Source organism: Homo sapiens, chromosome 2 (assembly GCF_000001405.40).
Source record: "Homo sapiens chromosome 2, GRCh38.p14 Primary Assembly".
NCBI lineage: Eukaryota > Metazoa > Chordata > Mammalia > Primates > Hominidae > Homo > Homo sapiens.
The window spans coordinates 158,436,346-158,463,006 of NC_000002.12; the positions used below are offsets into that span (position 1 = coordinate 158,436,346).

The following is a 26,661-nucleotide window of genomic DNA, read 5'->3' on the forward strand; positions in this document are numbered from 1 at the left end:
TGGAAACTGAACAACCTACTCCTGAATGACTACTGGGTACCTAACGAAATAAGGCAGAAATAAAGATGTTCTTTGAAACCAATGAGAACAAAGACACAACATACCAGAATCTCTGGGACACATTAAAAGCAGTGTGTAGAGGGAAATTTATAGCACTAAATGCCCACAAGAGAAAGCAGGAAAGATCTAAAATGGACACCCTAACATCACAACTAAAAGAACTAGTGAAGCAAGAGCAAACACATTCAAAAGCTAGCAGAAGGCAAGAAATAACCAGGATCAGAGCAGAACGGAAGGAGATAGAGACATGAAAAATCCTTCAAAAAAATCAATGAATCCAGGAGCTAGTTTGTTGAAAAGACCAACAAAATTGATAGACCGCTAGCAAGACTAATAAAAAGAAAAGAGAGAAGAATCAAATAGACACAATAAAAAATGATAAAGGGGATATCACCACTGATCCCACAGAAATACAAACTACCATCAGAGAATGCTATAAACACCTCTACGGAAATAAACTAGAAAATCTAGAAGAAATGGATAAATTCCTCGACACATACACCCTCTCAAGACTAAACCAGGAAGAAGTTGAATCTCTGAATAAACAAATAACAGGCTCTGAAATTGAGGCAATAATTAATAGCTTACAAACCAAAAAAAGTCCAGGACCAGATGGATTCACAGACAAATTCTAGCAGAGGTAGAATGAGGAGCTGGTACCATTCCTTCTGAAACTATTCCAAATAATAGAAAAAGAGGGAATCCTCCCTAACTCATTTTATGAGGCCAGCATCATCCTGATACCAAAGCCTGGCAGAGACACAACCAAAAAAGAGAATTTTAGACCAATATCCCTGATGAACATTGATGCAAAAATCCTCAATAAAATACCGGTAAACCGAATCCAGCAGCACATCAAAAAGCTTATCCACCATGATCAAGTGGGCTTCATCCCTGGGATACAAGGCTGGTTCAACATACGCAAATCAATAAATGTAATACCTCACATAAACAGAACCAAAGACAAAAACCACATGATTATCTCAGTAGATGCAGAAAAGGCCTTTGACAAAATTCAACAGCGCTTCATGCTGAAAACTCTTAATAAATTAGGTATTGATGGGACATATCTCAAAATAATAAGAACTATCTATGACAAACCCACAGCCAATATCATACTGAATGGGCAAAAACTGGAAGCATTCCCTTTGAAAACTGGCACAAGACAGGGATGCCCTCTCTCACCCCTCCTATTCAACATAGTGTTGGAAGTGCTGACCAGGGCAATCAGGCAGGAGAAGGAAATAAAGGGTATTCAATTAGGAAAAGAGGAAGTCAAATTGTCCCTGTTTGCAGATGACATAATTGTATATCTAGAAAACCCCATCGTCTCAGCCCAAAATCTCCTTAAGCTGATAAGCAACTTCAGCAAAGTCTCAGGATACAAAATCAATGTGCAAAAAGCACAAGCATTCTTATGTACCAATAACAGACAGAGAGCCAAATTATGAGTGAATTCCCATTCACAACTGCTTCAAAGAGAATAAAATACCTAGGAATCCAACTTACAAGGGACGTGAAGGACCTCTTCAAGGAGAACTACAAACCACTGCTCAATGAAATAAAAGAGGATACAAACAAATGGAAGAACATTCCATGCCCATGGGTAGGAAGAATCAATATCGTGAAAATGGCCATATTGCCCAAGGTAATTTATAGATTCAATGCCATCCCCATCAAGCTACCAATGACTTTCTTCACAGAATTGGAAAAAACTACGTTAAAGTTCATGTGGAACCAAAAAAGAGCCCGCGTTGCCAAGACAATCCTAAGCCAAAAGAACAAAGCTGGAGGCATCATGTTACCTGACTTCAAACTATACTACAAGGCCTCAGTAACCAAAATAGCATGGTACTGGTACCAAAACCGAGATATAGACCAATGGAACAGAACAGAGCCCTCAGAAATAATGCCGCATATCTACAACCATCTGATCTTTGACAAACCTGACAAAAACAAGAAATGGGGAAATGATTCCCTATTTAATAAATGGTGCTGCAAAAACTGGCTAGCCATATGTAGAAAGCTGAAACTGGATCCCTTCCTTACACCTTACACAAAAATTAATTCAAGATGGATTAAAGACTTGAAGGTTAGACCTAAAACCATAAAAACCCTAGAAGAAAACCTAGGCAATACCATTCAGGACATAGGCATGGGCAAGGACTTCATGTCCAAAACACCAAAAGCAATGGCAACAAAAGCCAAAATTGACAAATGGGATCTAATTAAACTAAAGAGCTTCTGCACAGCAAAAGAAACTACCATCAGAGTGAACAGGCAACCTACAGAATGGGAGAAAATTTTTGCAATCTACTCATCTGACGAAGGGCTAATATCCAGAATCTACAATGAACTCCAACAAATTTACAAGAAAAAAACGAACAACCCCATCAAAAAGTGGGCGAAGGATATGAACAGACACTTCTCAAAAGAAGACATTTATGCAGCCAACAGACACATGAAAAAATGCTCATCATCACTGGCCATCAGAGAAATGCAAATCAAAACCACAATGAGATACCATCTCATACTAGTTAGAATGGTGATCATTAAAAAGTGAGGTAACAACAGGTGTTGGAGAGGATGTGGAGAAATAGGAACACTTTTACACTGTTGGTGGGACTGTAAACTAGTTCAACCATTGTGGAAGTCAGTGTGGCGATTCCTCAGGGATCTAGAACTAGAAATACCATTTGACCCAGCCATCCCATTACTGGGTATATACCCAAAGGTTCATAAATCATGCTGCTATAAAGACACATGCACGTGTATGTTTATTGTGGCACTATTCACAATAGCAAAGGCTTGGTACCAACCCAAATGTCCAAGAATGATAGACTGGATTAAGAAAATGTGGCACATATACACCATGGAATACTATGCAGCCATAAAAAAGGATGAGTTCATGTCCTTTGTAGGGACATGGATGAAGCTGGAAACCATCATTCTCAGGAAACTATTGCAGGGACAGGAAACCAAACACCGCATGTTCTCACTCATATGTGGGAATTGAACAATCAGAACACTTGGACACAGGGTGGGGAACGTCACACACCGAGGCCTGTCGTGGGGTGGCGGCAGGGGGGAGAGATAGCATTAGGAGATATACCTAATGTAAATGATGAGTTAATGGGTTCAGCATACCAACGTGGCACATGTATACATATGTAACAAACCTGTACGTTGTGCACATGTACCCTGGAAGTTAAAGTATAAAAAGAAAAAAAAAGATGTCTGGATAGTTACATGACATTAGCCATGTATATATGCTGGCAACATGATATCCAAAAAAGAAAGGGTAGACTATTTGATCATATGCTTCACAATAGAAGATATAGTAATGCTCAATAAGCATATTAAAAAATGTTCAACATCCTTAGTCATCAGGAAAATGTAAATTTAAACTACAATAAGATGCCACTACACACACATTACAGCGGATAACATTTATTATTATTACTTTACTTTTTTATACAAGGTATTTCTCTGTTGTGCAGGCTGGAGTGCAGTGGTGCAATTATGGCTCAATGTAGCCTCCACCTCCTGGGATGAAGCATCTTCCTATCTTACCTCCTGAGTAGCTAGGACTACAGGCATGTTCCATCACACCCAGATATTTTTTTTTTTTACTATTACTTTTAGTAGAGATGAGGTCTCACTATGTTGCCCTGGCTGGTCTTGAACATCTGGGCTCAAGAGATCTTCCTGCCTCAGCCTCCAAAGGTGCTGAGATTACAGGTGTGAGGCACAGCACCCAGCCTAAAATTTAAATGTTGATAATATCAAGTGTTGACAAGAATGTGGAATAACTGAAACATTATAGATTGCTGTCAGGAGTGTAAAATGGTGTAGCCATTTTGGAAAACTGTTTGGCAGTTTCTTAACTGTTAAATAGTTAAACATAAACTTATTTTGGGACCCAGCAATATCAAGCGAAACAATGTACACCTCCAAAAAAACTGTACATAAATATACATACATTACTCATAATAACCAAAAACTGAAACAACTCAAATGCCCATCAACAGGTAGATGAATAAAGAAATAAATACATGCACAATAGTCCCCCGTTATTCTCAGGAGATGCATTCAAGACCCCCAGTGGATACCTGAAACCTCGAATAGTACCATAACCTATATACGCTGTTTTTTCTTATACTTATGTACCTATGATAAAGTTTAATTTATAAATTAGGCACAGTAAAAGATTAACAAAATAACCAATAATAAAATAGAATGTTTATAGCAACGTACTATAATAAAATTATGTAAATGTGGTCTCTCTTTCAAAATATCTTAATTTTTTGGCAGGTAACTGAAACTACAGAAAGTAAAATCACGAATTAGTGGGAGACTACTGTAATGGAATACTACTCAGCAATAAAAAGGAATGAACTAATGTTGAACAAACTGAATGACTACTAGTATACTCCAGACTGTTCATGTATTTTTGTCTGATAGCTGTTCAATAGCCTATTAAAAAGAAAATGAGCCAGGCATAGTGGTGCACACCTGTAAGTAGCAGCTACTTGGGAGGCTGAGTCAGGAGCATTGCTTGACAGGCGTTCAAGGCTGTAGTATACACTGATCACACCTGTAAATAGCCACTGCACTCCAGCCTGGGTGACACAGTGAGACCCTGTCTCTTAAAAAAAGAAAAAAGAAAGGAAAAGTACCATACTTGACAATGACAATTACCCCCTATATAGGCTATATAAACAAATAGACCAGCAATTCCAGGGAAAGATAGCTTGAAAGAGAATCTGCACTACTATTATAATACTGGGGTGAGTGGATCACGCTACAGTCCCAGGTTTGGACAAACTAGAGAGATTTCAACATCTCTTCTTCTGAGTCTTTGGAAAAATGGAATTTTTATTTCTAGGGCTGCCAATTTACCAAAATGAACTATGAAACCCTAAATGAAAAATATGCAAGATAGAAAATCAAGATTTCTGAATGAATCGTATTTAAAATAATATTTTCTAACTAAATATCACACCAAAAATTTTAAAGTAAATCAGAAATATCTAATTAAAAGTTTACAAAATAAGTACAGAATGTAGTTGACTTATACATACAGAAAAGTCTAATGATTTCTGACATGACCATGCAATATGTGATTGTTTTCCTCTTAACATATTTGAGATAAAAAATATGCTGAGGATGTTTTATTAAAAGGCCAAATTCTTTGCTATGTGACATCCTATGGCTCAGGAATTTTAATTCTTTCTTTTGTTGACATATTCTTTTTGAGCTTCAAATACAGTATTTATGATCTGAAAAAGTACATGTACTTATTAGCCTTTTGTCAATATTGTTTAGTATTATTTTACTTCTGCCTTAGAAGAGAGGAAAAGTGAAATACTCATTGATTTATCCAGATTTAATATTAATATCTTCCATGTTCATCAAGAATGTGCAATATTATTTTCTAAGTACCATTGAATTTTAACTTTTTACCAGCAAAAATCTTTTTATGTGCCTTCTTTTCATATGACATATTTGTTATGCTCACTCTACCAAAGATTTGGCATAATGGTACTTCTTAATCAAAATGGATAAATACCCTCTTATTTAAAAAACCTACATACTTCAATATTGAGGTGGAAAAATATGTTTTACACCCAAACTAGAATCTTGTTATTAGATTTGGCTGCCTTTTTCTTATAAAAAGACCTGCTGTATTTAAAAAATTTGCTTTGATAGACAATAGAAAAAGAGCTCTGTTATAAAAAACAAAGGCTTTTTAAAGGTAGTATTGAAAATAAATAATTGGCTTTTGTTCATCAGAGGCTAAATCTATTTTGCGGTTTGAAAGAGCTAAGAACAGATTGCTTCCCTCAGATTCTTAGCAAAGAAATGTTTTTGTCAATTAATATTCTTTGCTAAGAACAGTTTTTCCAGTGCTGTTTTTCAACTGGAATAATATTATAAATAGGCCTGTCGAAAGGACAATTCTTGGGCTTTTTTCTAAGATCTTAAGGTCTTAGAGCATAATAATTATGGTATGCCAGTTCAGAAGCATGGTAGAAAACAAAAAATCACGTTTCAAACAGGAAATGTACTGGGAGAAAAAGTTGCCATAGGTAGCCATTCTTTCAAATTAAATGAAAGGAACATCACCCACAAATTATGCCAGTCTTCCTCTTCTCATCAGGCTTTTGCCCAACATTTGCATCCCAGGATGATAGCAGGAAAAGAGCAGGAAGCAAGGAATTGAGTGCCATTGCAAAAGGCCCAGAACTATAAGAACACAGCATTCCACTCATGCAGTGTTGTTCCCCTGCTTCAGCTTTATCCTCTCTTCCAGCCTGCGCTGAAGTCACTACCACTTTATGAGAGTCAATAGCAATTACTATGTGCCAGACACTATTCTAAGAGTCTTAGCTCTTTTAACTCATTAAATACTCACAACAATGTTTGAGTAACACTGTTCTTCCCATTTTGCAGATGGAGAAGCTGTGGTTTGAGATCATCCAGCTGCTGAGTGGAGAGACCAGATGCAAACCCAGGCAGTCTGGCTCCAACGCCTGCAAAGGTTTCCATTCTACCCTCTCTCAGTAAAGGGAGATGACTACAGGTAGTGGCTCCTCAACAGGCATAGAAGAAGATCAGTCATAGTTTTTGTTTGTTTGTTTGTTTGTTTGTTTTTTAATAAACAGCTGCTCCCTTGTTAAGGTAGGGGTAAGGTCCTAGAGTTAGGGACAGGAAGGCAAGATATAAGTAGGAGTAAAGGGGAAAGGCATATCTTGAACAAAAAAAAACAAACAAAAAAAAGTCACTCAGGCACAGTGGCTTACACCTGTAATGTCAGCACTTTGGGAGTCGGGGTGGGAGGATCTCTTGGGAGTCCAGGGTGGGAGGATTCTGGCCAGAAGTTTGATACCAACCTGGGCAATATAGTGAGACCTCATCTCTACAAATAACAATAATGATAACAAAAATGATCAAGTGTAGTGGCCTGTGCCTGTGGTCCCAGCTACTTAGCAGGCTGAGATGGCGGGATCATTTGAGCCTGGGAGATCAAGGCTGCGGTCAGCCATGATGGTGCCACTGCACTCCAGCCTGGGCGACAGAGCAAGTCTATCTCAAAAAAAAAAAAAAAAAAAAAAGAAAAGGAAAAAAAGTGAAGGCAGGAGAAAAGTCTATTCAAACATAGGTTCTGGAAAACTGAAAACCAACAAGGGGATGAAAATAGACTTAAGGGCTATAGCAATGTGATAAACATATTTGGGAAATTTCTTTCAAAATAAAAAAAATCAAAATATAGACTGAGATCATGTAGTATTTCATTTTATGTGGAAATTAACCTAGGCCCAGGGAATATTTCTGCCCAGCTGAGTCATTTTACAGACCAGTGAACACAGGGCCATAGAGATTGAATGCCCTGCCCAAGACTTGAGGAAGCAGGCAGGACAGGCAAGGCTACAAGCCAGCCACACCTCCTGACTTTGAGATCAGTGCTCTTCCACCAACTATATTAAACACAATTTATCAGCTTTTAAAACACAGAAGCCATAGTCAATAGGTTGCAATTCAATTTTAGGAACATAAAAAATAATTACAGTGTACCCATATCGAAGGTTAAATACAAAATACGTCAGGCTATCACTTTCTCAATAGCCAAATAATATTTTAGAGTAATAGTCAGATAAAGTAGTCATTTTTAAATATGAGGAGGAGAATTCTTGGCATAACTGCACATTTTTTTCTTCTAATATTTTATCCATATAACATTTTCAAAATTTACATTATTCTAGACTTGGAAAATTTAGTCACATGCATACACACACATATATATATACAGCAAACATGGTGAAATGACTGAATCTTATTAATTTCTTCTTCTCTATAAGGGAAATCAAAAGGTTGAATAGAAAGGGATTTAAGCTGAGAGTTATTGGGCCAGTATTAATACTGATTTATAATCTCTAAGATTCCTCTAGTCCTAAAATTCTATAATTTTAGAAAGCTCATAATTGAAAAAAACATTGGATTAAAATATTAAATTTAAGTATTTGACTAATGAGATTATGACATACCAACTAAAGAAAATTATTTCTAGTGGTTTCAAAAAAGGGAGAAAATGCTGGGTGCAGTGGCTCATGCCTGCAATCCCAGCACTTTGGGAGGCTGAGGTAGGAGGATTGCTTGAGCCCAGGAGCTCAAGACCAGCCTGAGCAACATAGGGAGACCTCATCTCTATAAAAAATAAACAAAATTGGCCAGGCATGGTGGCACATGCCTGTGGTCCCAGCCACTCAGGAGGGCTGAGGCAGGAGGATCACTTGAGCTGGGGAGAGGTTTAGACCGCAGGGAGCTGAGATTTAGCCACTGCACTCCAGCCTGGGTGACAGAGCGAGACCCTGTCTTGAAAAAAAAAAAAAAAAAAAAAAAAAGATTTACAAGAAGTTGATAAAATGCTGGTGATTATGCTATCTATGGGATTAGAAATTATGTTAGTTAATAAAGAAATTTTTACTAATCTTAACAAATAGAAAGAAGGGGGGAAACAAAAAGTTAATGTAAAGTAGAAATAAGGAGTTCTTTCCTGATATAAACTCTTAGATACAGAAGCCTTCCGTGTTTATGCACACTAGCACAGGAACACTAGCATACTTATACAAAAAGTTCAGAAGCTTATACAGTTCACACTTTTTTTAAGTTTAAAGGTTAATAATGTTTGTGAGAAATGGAGAAGTACATTAAACCTCATTTTCACAGATGTGAGAAAGAGACAATAAAAAAAAAGTGACTTTTCCAAGGCCCAACAGTAAATCATTAAATGCCTATGATTTTAAAAATCAAGTTTTCAATTGACCATAAAAATGAATTAATTCTGTGTGGGCAGATATTTTTCTTTTATCAAATTCTCTACATTATAGGAATTTCCTTTTATTTTTTCCTATTGTGTTTTTCTTATTTATGTCCTACTTTTACATCATTTAGAAGTGTCCAAAGGCTACTCCTCTCAATACCACTGGAGATTTCATTGACCTTTCTCAGTCTGAATCACAATAATGATCACTGTCTCTGATAATCACCGTGTCTGAGATTCAAATTTATTGGAGCTAAATGATTTAAGTGATGTTTAAGACAAAGAAAAAAGCAAAAGAACAAGATTAAAATATAGTCTTTCAAAGACTTACTTCCAGTAATTGGGGTAGACAGAAGAGAAAAAACTAAAACGACAACAAAATACACAAATGGCAGGGAAAGAATAAACATTTTATCTAAAGATATTCTACTAAAACGTTGAAGTCTCATTCACACATCTCTGTAAATAACACTTTTGAGGATATATTTCCAAATGTATTTATTTTACATTCTTTAAGTGTAATCTTGTTCTAAATTATGTATATTATAAAATATAAATATAGAAAATCTATAAGTACAAGAAAAAATATAGTATGGACATATGTAGTATAGACAATTCGAATAAATGTTAGTGAAAATTATGTGATGGACTATGCTTCACTACTTGAAAATCTTGGTTTAATGGTTGGTCATAGAAGAATTCAAACTCTAAGGACAGTTCACCCCCATACTTGGCTTTAATGAATATAGTCATTAAAATAGACACTGGAAAAAATATGGAAGAAGTACAAAATAGGCTTTATGTAATCAACTATGATACTCAAATTTCAATTCCAGGGCCGGGGGCTATGGCTTACATCTGTAATCCCAACACTTTGGGAGGCCAAAATGGGAGGATCATTTGAGGCTAGGGGTTTAAGACCAGTCTGGGCAACATAGTGAGACCCCATCTCTACAAAAAAACTACAATGTAAAAATTAGCCAGGCATGGTGGCCCATGCCTGTAGTCCCAGCTACTCAGGAGGCTGAGGCAGGATTGCTTGACCCCAGGAGTTTGAGGCTGCAGTGAACTATGGTCACACCACAGCACTCTAGCTATCTGACAGGGCAAGAACTTGTCTCAAAAAAAAAAAGAATCAATTCCATCCACCAATTATGCAAAGATTGTAATTTAGTCTTTTTCTCTAGTAAATTTCTGGCTTCTCTGAGGTCAACTAGTTTTCCTCACAAAGTTTTTTTTTAATGTTTAACAGCTGGGTTCTGAGCCACTGAAATGCCATTAGGAATATTTTTAATCATGTTAGAAAATGTTTTCAAATTTATTAAGTGTTCATATAAGGGAGTTTTAAGATGTGTTTATGCCATTATTTTTAAAGTTTTTTATTTATAATAGCTTTATTGGGGTCTAATTTACAATTCATAAAATATACCCATTAGAACTGTATTATTTTTAATAAATGTATTGTTGTGGAACCATTACCACTATCCACTTTTAGGACATTAACATCACCAGAAAACATTCAGTCATAACCACTTGTATTAAATCCTCCCATCCCAGTCTAAGGTAATCACTGATCTGTCTTCTATCTCCATATTTTTTCCCTTTTTGGGAGTTTCATATAAATGGTATCATACAAATGAGGCCTCTTGTCTGGCTTTTTCTCTCTTGGCATAATATTTTGGAGGTTTATCCATATTGTACCATGTATCAGTAGTTCATTATTTTTAGAGATGAATAGTATTCGAGTATGCCATGTTTTGTTTTGTCAATCATCAGGTGATATTTAGATTATTTCCAATGTTTTGCTATTATTAACAATATTGCTACTGTTCATGTAAAAGTCTGTGTGGACATACATATTTATTTCTATTGAAGTAAGATTGCTGGGTCATATGGTATAAGTTTATATTTATATATATGACTTATTCTTTTTTAAAGAGAATAGGCCTCTCTACATTGCATAGACGGGCGTGCAGTGGTATCGATATGTGCAATCCCACTACTGATCAGCACAGGAGTTTTGACCTGCCCTGTTTCCAACCTGAGCTGCTTCACCTCTCCTGAGGCAACGTGGTGGTCCCTTCTTCCCAGGAAGTCACCATATTGATGCATAACAGTACAGACACCTGATCAGCATAGTGCACTATAGCCCAGAACTCCTGAACTCCAGGGATCCTCCTGCCTCAGCCATCTGAGAAGCTGGGTCTACATGCATGCAACATTGTGTCTGGCTATGTTTATGTTTTCAATAAGTTGCTAAATGACTCCAAAAAGTGTGTATACCATTACACATTTAGCAATTTATGAGAGTTGCAGTTTTTTCACATCTTTGTCATCACTGTGTATTGTCAATTTTTGGTTTATAACCATTTTACTGGTAGTGTACTGGTATCGTATTGTGGTTGTAATTTGCATTTCCCTAATATGTTGAACATCTTTTCATGTGCTTATTAATCATTTGTATACCTTTTTGGTGAAATCTCTATTAAAACATTTTATTTTTAATTGAATTGCTTATCTTATTTTTCACATTTAGCATGCTTTATATATTCTAGATACAAGTACTTTATCAGATATTTGACCTAGGAATTTTTTCACAGGCTGTTATTTGTCTTTTCACTTTCTTACCAGTATCTTTTGGAGGGCAAAACTTTTCATTTTTATAAAATGCAATTTATCAATTTCTTCTTTAATGGATCACAATTTTGGTATTGTATCTAAAGAAACCTTTCCAAAAGCAAGGTTGCAGAGATTTTCTACTGTTTTCAGATATAATTTTAGCTCTTACAGGTAGGTCTGTGATATATATAAATTTTTTTCTGTATGGTGTTTGGTAAGAATTTAAGTTCAGTATTTTGCATATGAATATGCAATTATTCCAGTAGTATTTCTTTAAAAAAAATCCCTTTCACTATTGCTCTGCCTTGTCATCTTTGCTGAAAACCAACTGATTGTAAATATATTAATTTCTGTACCTTCTATTTCATTGATCTAAGTGTCTATCATTATGCCAATATTACATCCTATTATTATAGCTTTATAAGTTTTGAAATTAGTATTGTAATAACTCTTACCTTTTTTTTACAAGATTGTTTTTGATATGTATTTCCATTTTATTTTTTTTTTATTTATTTTTGAGATGGGGTCTCATTCTGTTATCCAGGCTGGAGTTCAGTGGTGTGATCACAGCTCACTGCAGCCTTGACTTCCTGGGCTCCAGCCATCCTCCCACCTCAGACCCCTGAGGAGCTGGGACCACAGGTGTGAGCCACCATGCCTAATTTTTGTATTTTTGGTAGAGATAGGGTTTTGCCATGTTACCCAGGCTGGTCTTCAACTCCTGAGCTCAAGCAATCCACCCCGCTCGGCCTTCCAAAGTGCTGGGATCACAGGCATGAGCCACTGCACCCGGCCTGTATTTCCATTTTAAAATTGACTTCTCAATTCCTATAAAAATGCTTGCTAAGATATTGATAGAGATGACATTTAATCTATAGATTAGAGGTCTTATGCTTGTTTTCTAAAATTTATTCTTAAATATTGTCTTCTTTCTCATGTTATTATAAGTGGAATTGGGTTTTTGTTGTTGTTGTTGTTTTTGTTTGTTTGTTTTTCTGAGACGGAGTCTTGCTCTGTCACCCAGGCTGGAGTGCAGTGGCGCAATCTCAGCTCACTGCAACCTCCGCCTCCCAAGTTCAAGCAATCCTCCAGCCTCAGCCTCCTGAGTAGCTGGGATTGCAGGTGCCCGCCACCACATCTGGCTAATTTTTGTATTTTTAGTAGAGACAGCATTTCACCATGTTGGCCAGGCTGCTCTTGAACTTCTGACTTTGTGATTTGCCCACCTCAGCCTCCCAAAGTGCTGGGATTACAGGCATGAGCCACCGTGCCCGACCGGAACTGTTTTTTAAAATTCATTTTCAGATTCCTAGTTCCTAGCATATAAAAATACAACTGACTTCTATATATTGATCTTGTATTCTGTGACCTTGTTAAATTCATTTATTAGGTCCTAGTAGGATTTTTTATGTATAAGGTCAAGTAATCTGTAAATAAAGACAGCTTTAATTTTTCCTTTCCAATCAATATGACTTTTTCTTTCCTTGTTACACTAGCTAGAACCTCCAGTAAAATGGTGACTAGAAGAGATGAGAATGGACATCCTTATTTTATTCTCCCATCCAAGTACTAATGAGTTCTGTCCCTTCTTGCCCTCCTTGGTTTCTTTTTTTTTTTCCGAGACAGTCTCGCTCTGTCGCCCAGGCTGGAGTGCAGTGGTAGGATCTCGGCTCACTGCAGCCCCCACCTCCTGGGTTCAAGCAATTCTCCCTGCCTCAGCCTTTCGAGTAGCTGGCACTATAGGCACCCACCACCATGCCAAGCTAATTTTTGTATTTTTAGTAGAGATGCCATTTTGCCATGTTGGCCAGGCTGGTCTTGAACTCCTGACCTGAGGTGATCTGCCTGCCTTGGCCTCCCAAAGTGCTGGGATTATAGGCATGAGCCACCATGCTTGGCCCCTCCCTACTTTCTGAGATCAGACAGGTACGTTCAAAGTGGTATGGCCATATACTTTATTCTCAGATTTAGAAGGAAAGCATGGAGTCTTTCACCATAAATATGTTGTTATCTGTTGGTATTCATAGATGCACTTTATCACACCAACAAAGTTCCCTTCTATTCTTAGTATGTTGAGCATTTTACCGTGAATCGGTGTTGTATCTTGTCAATTGCTTTTTCTGGCACATATTGTCATCTTCATTTTTTTTTTTTTGTATTTTAAAAATTAACTACAGACAAATGTGGCAGTTCCTGACAAGATGATGTATTAGTAGGTACTGTTGTCTTGCTGTCCTGATCCAACCCCAGGGATGTACAGAAAACAACAATAAACAGTGGCCCAGGGATGTAAAGGGCCAGGCATCACGGCTGAAGGATAGAGTGGGGGCATATATTTTTTGAATGATTCATTTTCTCTCTGCTACTGCTTTAATAACCTTCTTTCTACCTCTACGAAGCAGACAAAGAGCTCTGAAGTTCAGGAAATAATGAGGTCATATTTTCTGAGGATTTATTTTAGAAGAACTTCAGATCTAGCATTTTACAACAGCCCTCTACTGTGGTGATCATTTGATGACCCAGTGTTAGCACTGAGTAAAGAGCTGCTTTCCAGCTGGAGATGATGGGTGACTTGCCAGGTGCCCTGCATCTGTCTGACAACCTTCTTTTACTTTGAGCTTTGCACAAAGCTGCTGGCTGTATGGGATCTGGCAGTAATTAGCACACTTCCAACATAGGTCCACTTACGGTAAGTGTCACCTTCATTTTGAAGAACAGTTTTGCTAGATATAGAATTCTTGACAGGTTTTTTCTTTCAGCATTTTGAATACGTCCTTTTACTATCCTCTAGTTTGTTTTGTTTCTAATGAGAGGTCAGCTGTTAATTTTACTGTGATTCCCTTGTGTAAAATGAGTTGTTATTTTCTTGCTGCCTCAAAATTTTCTTGTTATTTTTGTCTTTCAGCAGGCTAAGATGTATCTAGTTGTGCCTCTCTTTATGTTTATTCTATTTGGTGTTTGCTGAGTGTCTTTGATGTGTGGATTAAGATTTTAAACAGATTGGGGAAGTTTTAGGACATTGCTTCTTCAAATATTTTTTCTATACCCTTCTATCCCTCCTTTCCTCCTGGGGCTCCCAGCATAAATTGGTATACTTCGATTCTGTCCCACAAGTCCCAGCAGCTTTGTTCATTTTTCTTCAATCTTTCTCCTATTCTTTAGGTTGGATAGTTTCTATTAGTCTGTCTTCAAGTTCACTGATTTCTTGTTCTGCCATCACAAATTTGCTATGGAACCCATACAGCAGATTTTTAAATTGTTATATTTTTCAACTCTAAAATTTTTCATTTCTTTTTCATAGTTTCTATTTCTCTATTTAGAGTCCATATTTGTTGAGTCATTTCATCTTTAAGTTTTAAAACATACTTATACTAGCTGTTTTGAATTAGTTGTATACTAAATCCAACAAGTGGGGTCACTTAGAGTATCTAATGGCTGATTATTTTCCTGAATTTCAGTCACACTTTCCTGTTTTTATGCAGGTCTCATAATTTTTGTTGATAATTCAGTATTTTAAATAAAATATAGTAGCAATTTTGGATGACATCTGATTTTCCTCCTGAGAAATTTTTAAATTGCTGGAACTTAAACATCAGAGTCTATTTCTCCTGCATTGTATAACTACTGATGTCTCTAATAAATTATTTTTATTTTCCAGCCTGATTCCTAAAATGTATAATAGAAATACAAGTTCCAATATTTTCTTCCCATACCAATGATGCGGCAAAATGATTCTACCCTGAAAAAACAATTATATCACTAATTTTCTCAAAGTTCTCTTATCTTCAACTTGAAAGGATGAGAACAGATTGTTGAGGAATAAAGGGCTTTGATATGGGAGAGTAGGGGATAGAGACACCGCACTAAAAAAAATTCTTTTGCCTAACTCAGGTTGGCAACAATTTGATACTAGATAGGTAATTCATTTTCTACTATTTACTTATTAAAAAAAACTTTAGGCTGTTACTCTTCATAGTTCATCAAGTCATAATATCTGTTTTCTTTTGTTGTAAAATATTTGCATAATTTGTAAATGAAGCCTTGGATGGCAAGGAACAGGGACTCACTAAAGGCAAACAAGGAAAAGAATGGAGTAGGGATGATCACAGGAAACAAAAATCTCACAAAACAAAAAGAAAATGAAGTTTATTTAAGTATGACCTTATGAGGAGAATAGTGTAAAGAAGGAAAAACACTTTTCCTCTATCCTCTTACCTTCAATGTCTGAGAATTAAACTGATAAAAGACAGACTGACAAGAGAAAAAACATTTAATTACATATGTACACAAAGCCTTCACAAATAAATGTGACTCAAGGAGGCAATTAGAATTTTTGACCTATACCATCGTAACAGAAGTGATTAAGTGTGAAGAGGCTACACAAAGGAAAGGGGGTATGGGGCTTCCTGTGGAGAACAGGGGTGAGGGGGGAAGTTAGGAAAGGTGCTAGGAAACGTATGATAAATAAGGGTTGTCTAGTAAGGTGTGTTATATGCATAAGCGTCCTCAAGAGATATTTCCAAGTAGATCCTTTCCTGGTAGTAGAGAGGCAGACAACTTTATAAATGGAAATTTATGGCCTACTCTTAGACAGAAAAGCAGGAGGGAAAAAGAGTTTTTCTTGTATCTGCTATTTCTCAATTGCTTTCAGCTCAAAATATTCCTTATGCCAAAATGGCACATTTTGGGGTAGGCATATTGTGGTCCCTTCAATAGGAACCCAGAAAACATCAGGACCAAGACAGCTGCTCTCTCTGGTTCTCTTGTTCTCTTAATTTCAAATTCCCTGGAAAATAATCTGATTGGCATCATTACCAGTTAGGGGTCAATGGTTAGGCAGTGGATTGGCTACATGGCTCAGGTCTCCCCACAGGGGCTGATGCCTTGCCAGGTGCATTGTTATGAGGTGTGCAGGGCTGCCTCCTTCAAGGGCTGTGGATATACGTACTAGGAAGCATTTCTATTACACATACCAGATGTTTGACACCATTCTGATTTTATGAAGTTGTTAAAATCTCATGACCCCACTGTTTTCCAAGAGACAGGACAACCTAGAAGTTTCACATACCAAAAAATGTAACCCTTAACTTGCTTAGCAAAGCTGAGTTTCAAAACCTCTATTCTGCTCTATCATACTTTATCTGATTTTTCCACATTGTACAGCTAATCCCAACTTTTCCTAATTCTCTCCCAACATCCTGATTCCAATTTTTTATTGTTCAAAGTCAAGTTCTTCCAAGAACTAAACAAAGGACTAATAAATATTGGCTTTTCTTAGTGTGGGAGGTGCTTCAGCAGTTTAAGGCAGTGAGGGACACAATCATGATCATGATGTGGATCCTATCCCTTAGGGGAAAAGGCTCACACAAAAATAACCACACCATTTGATATAGAGTGTCAAGGGTCACAATACAGTAAGGAAGAACTCACCCTCTCAAGAAGGGGGAAGGCCAGGAAACTTTCAGAAAGTTTTTACAGGTAATCATTAGGCAGAGCCATGGGAGGATTTGTATAATATATTCAGAGGATGGGGATGGGGTGGGGCTCAGCCAATCCTGAAACCACCAGAGCCACCTGAGCGGAACTATTATTAAGCCCTAGCAACCCTTCTCAGGCCCCGCTTATTCCATTACTCTCTTTCCCTCCTTTGCCACCCACCTCTGTTTTAACATTCCTCTTTAAAAAGAAAACCCCAAAATTATCAGTATTGGCGTACTTTTTGAAGATTTTATCTTCACCTCCCCCACTCCTCCATAGACACCCAGGTATGACAAGAGACTCAGTGCTCCTGCTTCCTCCTATTCCTTGCTGCCTCTGCTATGCTTCTTAGGGAATTTACCACTAATCTTTAGGGGATAATATGAAAAAAATAAACATTGGAAAGTTACAAAGTTTTCGTAATCTTAAAAGTTTCAGGTAGACTTCTTTCTGAGCTGGTAATTGAAAAGTTGTTTGGATTTCTGCTGTTTACTTTCGTTCTTGAGGGTGGAGTCACCAGACCTCCTAATATTCTAACCTTGCCCTGGGCCCCAGTGTCAGCCTGAGCACAGGCCCTCTCCCCACCCCTACTTTCCAGCACTTTTCCCAAGGTGGCCAGGCTAGCAGTTTAAATCATCCTCTTCTCAAGCCAGTCATTTGCATTTCTGTGGATCCTCAGGCTAGGTAACAGTGGTTTCATTCCTTCACTGGAAATCTGGAATTGGGCCATTCCAACTTGGAGGCAAAGGACATTTTTGTAGGAGAGAACTTAATTGGCAAAATAAGCTAGGATTTTGAGGACAAAGAGCACAATCTTCAAAATCATTTCAGTGGTATTCAAGGGCCAAAACATTGGCAACAAAGTAGAAACCTCAAGAAATTCCCTTCAGACAGTTTCTTGGTGAAAAGAAAGGCCAATAGATAGAGATGGTGGTAGGGTAGAAGGAAGGTGGTTTTACCAAAAGCCAGATATTTGGAAGGCTTAGGAAAAATCTTTGGAGGAGAGGGTGTAACACATCATGTAAGAGAGAAATTATAATCAATAGAGCAAAATCCTGGTAGAGAGAAGATGGCTCATGTTTAGGAGCATAAGTGGAGTATGAGCCTTGAAGAGAAATGTGGTCACCCTTCTCAGCCATGACTGAAGGAGGTGAAGATGTGTGAAAACTAGGACTGAGGTTTAAGAAAGTTAAGTTGAGGAACCTCATGGTGGATCCTTCAGTAGAGTACGAGGCAAGATCATTTGCAGAAGTGCAGGAAAACCACGTAAAGTGGGGGCTTCAGGAGAGCAGACATTGGACAGGTTTGGAAGTGGCCTGGATAATGTTCCTGGATAAGTGTTCCAGATAATCATCCTCCTGATGAGGAAAGGAACTGAGAATCAGTGAAGACACAGCCAAGTCTGAATAGCATGAACTTTTAGTGGAATGAAGTGATTCTTTAACCTTGTCTAGCAATGCTTAGTAGCGCAGGAGCAAGTTCAAAAGAAACCTTTCAACTAAATACAAAAATAAACAAAAAAATTAATGTTGAGTGGCAACTTATTTCAGGGGACATTATTCATGGTGGATTTCAGTAACATTTTAATTATGACAAACACGAAATCTACAATATCAAAATAGTCATCTGAGAAAAACACCCACACAAAAAGATTATTGGAGTAATAATCTTTTATTTTCTTCTTTCTATGCTAGCCTAAGGCAAGAGAAAAGACCCATTTTTTCTTTCCATTAGACACAACTTTCATTCATTTGATGTTATTGAAATTTAAAAGAAGCAAAATCATTGGTATCTTTTCATTAAACATGTGTCTCATATAACAATTTGTGGTTTACTTTTTCTGTTCTATAAACAAAAACACACATTAAAAAGCCGGAAGAAGTAAAAAACAGCCTATTTCCATGATGGCCAGCCATGGCACAGCACTTCCTGGCCCCTGCTGATCCCTTCTCAATTCTGAAAATATTTAGGGGGAACATACACACGTTCACCTGTTTTGTTCCACAGTCCTACCCTGTGTAGGACTGTCAACTGAGTTCACATTTTACTACAAATGTGGAGAGGTTTTTTTTTTTCCAATCAAGGCACCATATTAACATTTCTTAGGTTACATCTTTGTAATCTTCAATTATAGTAAGATAAAAACCAGTAGCAAAGCATATCACCCAACTTAAAATTCAGAACAATACTTAGACATATGCAGCTTGCACACACATTAACCTGTTTCTCCCAACAAAATATTTGTAATTTCCAAAATCCTATCAGCTTTTTCACACAATATGGTCCCTCCAATTTGAGGGGTAGTAACATAGTCTCCTTACTAAAGAGATTAGTCTAAAAAAAGTAAAATCGCCAAAAGAATGTAAGAATATCAGTGGCTATAGGCTAGAGCAATATCATCTTTTAAAGCCTAATATGTTCATGAAATCTCACTTTAAGAAGGTGATATCTAAACATAAAATTTATTGACAAAAAACAATTAGTATTGATAAACCACCACAAAATGATTTTAAATGAAAGTAGAAGACATTATTAAAGCTCAAGATTTTTGCGTGTACTGATTTCATGCCTCAGGTTATTTCCATATCAAATTTAAAGAGATACTGGAAAATAGAAAACAAAATCCATCAACTGTAATCCATTTCCCTTACTCTTTTGTGAAATCATCACAAGGTGTGAAGGATTGTTTCTGTTTCCTCTATCTTTAACAAGCCTGTAACCTCTCAAGTGAAAGAACATGCACCTGTCAAGCTCATAGTGCGGGATGTACACACAGATGTGTTTAATAAATATCTGCCCACAGGGAGATTAGAGGTTTGCTTTGAGAATCAGGGAACAGGCTAGCTCATGTGTTGACGCTTTGGCATCTATCATACAATCCGCCACCTCGTTCCCTTACCAAAATATCCTCAAAGGAAATCCTCTTTGAGTCTTTCAGAAGAGTTATGAGTTTGAGGACCCAAAACGTTGAGGAAAGATCCACCCCAGGGAAGGGGGAGTGGCTGCAGAGAACAAACATAAGTAGGATTTAGGTGGCTCAGTGACGTCAGGAGGAAGCAGCGATGGAAGGGATGGGGTGCAAACTCACCTGGAGAAGCAGAAGCTGCACACATGTCAAAGGTCAAAGGGCATAGCCTCAGGGACTCCCCAAACGCAGGAAAAGTGAAACGCCCACTCCTGGGCTCTCGCCGTCAGGGGTACATCTAAGGGCTCAGCTGTTCCTACCTTTGACGCCAGGGACAAACCCTACCAGGCACAGTTGGGATTGGCAGTAAGGCAAGGAAAGCCTGCCCCAGATTTCAGAGCCAGCGCTGGGGAATCTCCCTGTCCTCTCCGCCACCCCCTCCCGCGCCCGAGACCTGAGACACCTTCTCTCTCACACCCACCCTCTCCAGGCCCTCTCGCGCTGAACAGCATCGGTCTCTATGGCGACCTGAAACCGCAGCTCCCATTGGCCTGTTCAATATGAGGGCCGGGCCAATGGGGAGGGCCAGCCCTCTCCTTCCCGCCAATGGGGTGGCGGGAGCTGGCCCGGGGACGGCGGCGTGCTGACGTTCCCGGGAGCCCGGGGCTGGCCGGGCGGGAGGGCTGGCAGCGGGGCGGGCGGCGGCGGCGGCCTCTGGGCAGTAGAGGGGGCTCCGGGGCTGAGTCCGCGTCGACGCCGGCCGCGGAGGCGGCACCATGGGCAAGGGGTAGAGGGGCAAGTTGGCCACCGCCGCCGCCGGGGGTGGTGGGAGAGCCGCTCCGGGGGCGGGGGCCGGTGGGGGAGGGAGGGGCGGGCAGCCGCGCCGCCGCGGCACTTTTTTAATTTTTTCGGGTGCCGCAGCGGCGACCCCTCGGCGCCGATGTCCCTGATCCCTGGAGCGACGACGGCCGCTGCCTAAGCTGGAAAGTAAGTGTGTGGGCTCGCGGGAGGGCGCGGAGACTCCTGCCCACGAGACCCTCGGCCCTCGCCCCGAACACGCGCCAGGGCCAGGACCTGCGCGCCGGGGGCCGGGGGCCTCCCTCCCGCTGCCGCGTCCCCAGCGCCTCGCGGCCGCCGCGGCTTTCCTGCCCCGCCTCGTGTTCCTGCCCGCACTCGCCTGCTGCTCCCCTCCCCCCGGCAGGCGCACAAGTTTCACCCTCCATTTGCTTTTCCCGGCGATTCCTCTCCCCGGTCTCCCGTACGCGCAGCGCACGACCTCTGCCCACGCTGGGCTGTTCGGATTCAGAGCTCCCAGCCCCGAACTTGAGCGCCGCGCTGAGCCCTGCTGGACGCCCTCGCGGCGGCTTCCCCGCTGCCTGCCGCCGCGCGCCCCAAGTCGCCCTCGACACCACTGGGCGCCCGCCCTCCTCAGCACTCGGGGCCGGCTGTCTGTCCTTCTAGCCCCAGATCCTGCACCTTGGTCCCCTCCCCGTCTTCCCACGCCCCTGCTGCCCGCGCGGTCTTGCGTTTGTCCCCGAAGTCCTGTACTCCTTGCCGGTCCTGCCCACCCCTCTGCCTAGTGCGCCCCTCTCTACCGGCCGCGGATCCTCACGCTCCACCCCTCCCGGCTCCCCAGCGCCGAGCCTCGCCGCTGCCCTCCTGCGCCGCCGCTTCCTCCTCTCCCTGCCAGGAGTTGAAGCGGAGCTGCGGCACCTCCCTGGCGGATCTGGTATCCCCGCCCGCTGCCGAGGCTGCCGGCCCTCTCCCCTGGACCGCTACCCGGAGAGCGAGCGGCGGGGCCGGGATTTGGCTGCGTGTTGGCTGAGTGCGACACACCGCGAGCGCGGGCAGTGGAGGTGCCGCGGCGGCCGTGGCCGCTCGGGGCGCAGCGGTAGTCAGGTGTGTGTGTACAGCGGGGGACGCGCGCTGCCGGCTCCTGGGCTGGCGACAGATTGTGCAGGAATGCGAGGAATGCACCAGGGGCAGAGTCCACACAGCCCGCCGCGGCTGCCCTAGCGCCTTCCCTCCCCAGCTCTCGCCGCGCAGCCAGAGGTCACCGGAGCATCTTCGGAGCTGGTGAGCCTCATTCCACTCCTCTCCTCCCATAGCTTCCCTCCATGCGGCAGAGGGGAAGCGCGGTAATTCTTTGGGGCTCCAGCTAGCCTTTCGTCTGGGTTTTTGCTGCATTGGTCTTCAGGACCGTGAATTTGGGGCCGATGACTGTGTAGCCAAGGTTATTGATCATTGCACAGGGCTGTTGGCAAGTTTGGTGTGCAAGGTTTGGATAGTGCCTGGTTTTCACTAGGGTTTTCTGAAAACCAGCAGAAACAGGGGGCCTGAAGGTTGTTAGAGTAATGAGCTTGCAGCCAACATATTTTAGCTCTATCAAAAAATGCCTGTTAGTGCTCACGGGCATGTACTGCGAGAGAGATCTTGAATGCATCACTTTGGTATCCTAAGAAGTGTAATTTTTTTCCCTCGTCATACTGGGCTGTGTTTAGACCTCGTATAATACATAATGAATAGAAACAGAGAAGCACTGTTCGGTCAGCGATGGGACAGATAGAACTGTCTGGTACAGTTAAATTCGGGACGTGTCAGTTACCATTGAAAGTAACACGGGGACACCACAATCATGTATATTTCAAGATGTAATTTATTAGTGGAGGTCTCAGTTTTTTCTCTTTGTTACTGAGTTTGACTGAAAAAAAAAAATAAATGCTGCCCTACAAGTTTTAAAGAACGGTAATTATTTACGTGTAAAATCAATGATGGCTAGTATGCATTTTTGGTCAAATTTTGTTTTCCTTAATACGGGAGAGCAAAATTTTGACAGAAAATGGTTCGCTAGAATTGAGCTTAGATTCTTTTTATTTTTAAAGAGAAACTAGAAGAATGCTTCTCTTCTTGAATGCAGTATATTGCTGTAGGAGTATCTTCGTTTTGGTGCCTGTGAAACAGTTATGGAAAATGGCAACATGAAAACGAGAACAACTAATGTCTGAAATAAGTGTTTCTGGGTGTTGAAAAGCATCATATGTGTGTTTTTATTTGACACAATTTGCTTTGCAGGTTGCATTTATGATAAACCTCTTTGCACCTGGTTATTTTATGTCAGATTCAGTAAAATAATAAGTCAGTTGTCTGACCAATCAGCTTTCTTCCAACACCTACTTTGTGTAGATCATGGACATTGAAAACTATTAAATAGGAGCCTTTAGTTAAGGACTCAACAGAAAGGAAAAAAAATAGAAAAAAATATTTTGCACTCAGAAACGTTTATGTTTTGGTTGCTACGTTGTTTTTCAGCTATGTGCATAATCAGTGAATCTTCTAATTTAGAGGTTTAATTTGTGTCCAGTAACACTGTGGAGGATATTGGGAGGTGTTTGTAAATGCCAACAGGAAACTTTTATTATGTAACAGTATCATATTACAGCAGTGTTTAACCCATGCTTAACCCGTGCTTTTTTGACTTGATGTCAAGATTGGGAAGTAAAAGCAAATTTAGTTTCCCTGCCGCATTAGAAATTGAAAACCCTGTTCAGATGTATGGATCACACACACACACACACACACACGACACACACACACACGATTGGCTGTGCAGATAGTTTTGCCTGCTTCAGGTAAAGGTAACCTTTCAGTTAGAAATGCTTTCTATTTGTTACAGATATTCAAAGAGTGGAAGTTTTTCAACTAGTGATCCTACACAATTGAAAATAACCGAAATTGTATTTTGACCAAAGTGCATTCCCTCCCCACCCCCTACTATTATGTAAGGAGAGGGTGCTGCATCTGGTGTCTTATGTATTATACTGAAGAGTCTAAGTTGGGAAAGCTAAATATCCAATTATTTTAATTTTTACCTGTATTGTTTTTGGAGGGAGATAAGGGAGCAGAGTATTGATGGAAAACAAGGGAAGAAGAAACTAGGGGCAGCTAGTATTCAGCCAGAAAGTAAAATTATATACATTATTGCAGCAGTAATGCATTTATAAGCTGAATAAATCAAATCTAATTTTGTGACTAGTTCTGACATGATATGAATTTAAAGAAACTACTACCAAATTCAGTTTAATAAAAATTTTAGCATTTCTATGACCTTGAGTATTTGGATTAGGTTTAAATTAGAATCGCAGTTTTCTTCCTTTTCTTGTAAATAGGCAAAGTAAATTTAATGTAAAAATTTGAAACTCGCTTTAATTTTTGAAAATGCAATTATTGGCAATTTTTGACCTTAGTAATTTCCATGCTGTTACCCAGGGATCAATTTAAATAATATTCATACCCTGGATGATGCCAACCATCAGGTAAGTCTAGTCTCTTACCTGACTCTTTTGAAATATTAAGGTATTTTGAGAATGCTCTGTAATCTAATGTGTTTTTCTTTCTGTTTCAATTGAGCAGTAATTCCCTACCTTGCTTAATTCTAAAATGGACATCATATCTTCATTCTTAAATGGAAGGTAAAATAGAGGTTACTATAGGGTTATTTTAGGGCATAAATGCCTATGGTATTGTATGTCAGTTTGGGAAGTTTGCCTTCACGCCTTCAAGTGTACAGGGAGATAGTTACTCCTTCAATGTGTGAAATGATTCTGTAGTGCCCTTCCTGCACTGAAGGGGGAAGAAGAATCTGAAACATAACACCAGAGGACTAGGTATGTTTGGAGAATTAAATAACTATTTCACAGCCAGACAACACTACAGACAGCTGCAAATAGAGAAAAGAAGGAAAACTTTTAAGATACGTGGATGTAAGCTTTCATTCTTACATCAATGGAAGTGATGATAGCAGTCAGCAGGTCAGTTCGATGCTCAGTGATAAGAAATAACAGGGTTATTTCAAGGTAAGGTAATCAGGCTCTAAGTTGCCAAGAACAGTAATTCATGTACTTGCTGGTTTCAGTTCAGAAGTTGCATAACATTCAAATATTTCTTACCTTGTCACTTTAATAATTCAGTGGAATTATCTTAATTTAGTGTGCTATGTTACCATTACTAAATTGGGGATGTTACATGATGGTGATCTTCAATTAAACTTAGGAATGTTGCAGACATTTTCTTCATCATTGACCTGTTGTTTTTCCTTTTCATAATTCAGATTTGTTTGATATACCAATAAATGTTGGCTATATCACTGATCATTTTATTATTCATAGTCTTGATAACATTATAGTTTATTATGACTCATATATAATGATTCATTGCAGCTGATAAAATGTTGTTAGGGATTGTATTGTGAGATTTTATTACTACCAAATATATAAATTAAAATGTGGAAGTGTCTGAGTTATTGTAAGTCATGTGATTGCAAAGCATTTTTCCTGAATGGAATAATGCCTGGTGACTGGGTGGGTGCCAATCCAGGTAGCTAGATATAGAATAATACAGTCTTCACAAAATCCAGAACTCACAATATAGGGTAGGGAGGGAGGGGGCCAGGGGAAGCACCTTTCTTTGACATCTGAGGCATGTTTGACTTCTATAGTTTCCTCTCCACTAAATATAAATTGGGTGAGTTGCAAATATTTAATGGTGTTAGTACTGCTCTTCCTTCATCTGTGCCCCTACACTGCCCCCACCACCCTGCCACAACACACACACACTATGCCATCACCACATCTGTGAGCTTGGCAAGGCAGAGGAAGCTCCTTATGGCCTGAGACCATGTACATAAAATGTAGACATTGGTGTCCTGTATTCCAGGTTGAATTTAAAACAGGTATGGGGTTTGACACAAAAATGATACTGTATATGAAGGTTAGGTAAAATATGTATTTGAAGTGAGGCTATCAGGGTACTATGCAGGCTTTTGGGGCCTGGCCCGAAACTTGGAATGCAGTTTTTCATAGAAACCCACAATCAGTTTACAAATAGACTTTTGAAACACTGGCTAGGTGGTATCTGAAGTTTTGGCCCATTGCAAGCTGTGTCTGAATTGCAAGCATGAGGGAAGTAAAAAGCATCCCAAATCAGAAATTAGGAGATCTGCCATTAAACCTTATTACCTTGACAAACCATTTAATGTTTGGATGATAGCTTCCTCCTTTTAAAAATACAATTTGGATTATATTGATCTAAGTTATATTTTAGCTCAAGATTCCTGAAGTTCACAGTGGTTTTTAAAAATTTTTCTTAAGAAAAAAAAAAGAACAAAAAACTTTTCCAAGCTTGAATATACATAATCAGCCCTGTTTCCCCTTGTACCTCAAATCATGGCAACAAGGAAGTTGAATTTCTCTTTTGAGACTTTTGAACCTTCTTCACATTCATTTTTAATTGTTTTGTTTTAAAACAATATCATTTTGGGAAGTGAGGGGAAGGGATGAAGCACATGTTTTCAAAGTCTTGCTGTCTGCCTCTACCCTAGTCTGAGATTACATATGGTAGTTTTGGCCAGGGAAAGTGCTTGGGATTTCACCTTCATACTCAGTGAGGCTCATGAAGTGTCATTAAGGTAGTGAGGTGTCATGATTAGCAGCCTTACTGTCAGGGTCCAATTCTGGCACTGCAACTTGCTGGCTGTGTAACCTGGCAGATTGTATAATCTCTGTGGTCCTCGTTTTGCTCATCTGTAGGATGGAGTGATAAAAGTACCCACTTCATATGGTTGTTGGGGAGATTAAATGAATTAATACATGTAAAGTGCTTACAACAGGAGCTGGTTCAGAGCCAGCGCTTAATACATTGAAATAATTATTTTTACATTGTGGTGCTTTTATGATGGTTTCTGCAGCATTTACCAAATGCCAGGGAAATTATTGGCTTG

The 26,661-nt window shown here is 39.6% G+C and overlaps 3 protein-coding genes and 1 pseudogene across 18 annotated transcripts in view, besides 8 other annotated features; 1 reads left to right on the forward strand and 3 right to left on the reverse strand.

The window, feature by feature from the left end:
- Positions 1 to 20,408, reverse strand: part of CCDC148 (coiled-coil domain containing 148) — a 285,681-nt gene extending 265,273 nt beyond the window's left edge. For all 3 annotated transcript variants that reach the window (NM_001301684.2, NM_138803.4, NM_001301685.2), the window contains exon 1: positions 20,070 to 20,408. Coding sequence is in view for 2 of the 3 variants with exons in the window: in NM_138803.4 (NP_620158.3) it covers positions 20,070 to 20,094 (25 nt within the window). In the remaining variant the exon portion in view is untranslated. The remainder of the gene's footprint in view (positions 1 to 20,069) is intronic.
- Positions 10,821 to 11,116, reverse strand: RN7SL393P (RNA, 7SL, cytoplasmic 393, pseudogene; annotated as a pseudogene).
- Positions 20,312 to 20,606: a silencer, noted in NCBI's record as "tiled region #156; HepG2 Repressive DNase unmatched - State 1:Tss". NCBI's record gives its function as "represses a minimal TATA promoter and a strong SV40 promoter by Sharpr-MPRA in HepG2 cells {active_cell/tissue: HepG2}" and the evidence as "EXISTENCE:reporter gene assay evidence [ECO:0000049][PMID:27701403]".
- Positions 20,312 to 20,706: a biological region, named in NCBI's record as "Sharpr-MPRA regulatory region 156".
- Positions 20,337 to 20,706: a silencer, noted in NCBI's record as "silent region_12035". NCBI's record gives its function as "represses an Ori minimal core promoter by ATAC-STARR-seq in GM12878 lymphoblastoid cells {active_cell/tissue: GM12878}" and the evidence as "EXISTENCE:reporter gene assay evidence [ECO:0000049][PMID:35858748]".
- Positions 20,607 to 26,661, forward strand: part of PKP4 (plakophilin 4) — a 224,478-nt gene continuing 218,423 nt past the window's right edge. For 10 of the 14 annotated variants that reach the window (NM_001377220.1, NM_003628.6, NM_001005476.4 and 7 more), the window contains exon 1: positions 20,607 to 20,873. The gene's annotated coding sequence lies outside the window, so the exon portion shown is untranslated. Of the gene's footprint in view, positions 20,874 to 21,547; positions 21,963 to 26,661 lie in introns of those variants that run through there. The other 4 variants (NM_001377221.1, NM_001377218.1, NM_001377219.1 and 1 more) reach the window with 1 other exon arrangement.
- LOC124907900 (uncharacterized) lies at positions 20,786 to 21,789 on the reverse strand. The gene has a single exon (XM_047446754.1). The coding sequence runs from the start codon at positions 21,107 to 21,109 to the stop codon at positions 20,786 to 20,788; it is 324 nt and encodes a 107-aa protein (XP_047302710.1). The 5' UTR covers positions 21,110 to 21,789.
- Positions 20,927 to 20,976: a silencer, noted in NCBI's record as "silent region_12036". NCBI's record gives its function as "represses an Ori minimal core promoter by ATAC-STARR-seq in GM12878 lymphoblastoid cells {active_cell/tissue: GM12878}" and the evidence as "EXISTENCE:reporter gene assay evidence [ECO:0000049][PMID:35858748]".
- Positions 21,227 to 21,276: a silencer, noted in NCBI's record as "silent region_12037". NCBI's record gives its function as "represses an Ori minimal core promoter by ATAC-STARR-seq in GM12878 lymphoblastoid cells {active_cell/tissue: GM12878}" and the evidence as "EXISTENCE:reporter gene assay evidence [ECO:0000049][PMID:35858748]".
- Positions 21,297 to 21,356: a silencer, noted in NCBI's record as "silent region_12038". NCBI's record gives its function as "represses an Ori minimal core promoter by ATAC-STARR-seq in GM12878 lymphoblastoid cells {active_cell/tissue: GM12878}" and the evidence as "EXISTENCE:reporter gene assay evidence [ECO:0000049][PMID:35858748]".
- Positions 21,387 to 21,606: a silencer, noted in NCBI's record as "silent region_12039". NCBI's record gives its function as "represses an Ori minimal core promoter by ATAC-STARR-seq in GM12878 lymphoblastoid cells {active_cell/tissue: GM12878}" and the evidence as "EXISTENCE:reporter gene assay evidence [ECO:0000049][PMID:35858748]".
- Positions 21,887 to 21,966: an enhancer, noted in NCBI's record as "active region_16680". NCBI's record gives its function as "activates an Ori minimal core promoter by ATAC-STARR-seq in GM12878 lymphoblastoid cells {active_cell/tissue: GM12878}" and the evidence as "EXISTENCE:reporter gene assay evidence [ECO:0000049][PMID:35858748]".

Excerpts from the sequence above, each read along its gene's own strand:
- LOC124907900 (XM_047446754.1), bottom strand. The coding sequence starts at position 21,109 with ATGGAGGGTGAAACTTGTGCGCCTGCCGGGGGGAGGGGAGCAGCAGGC.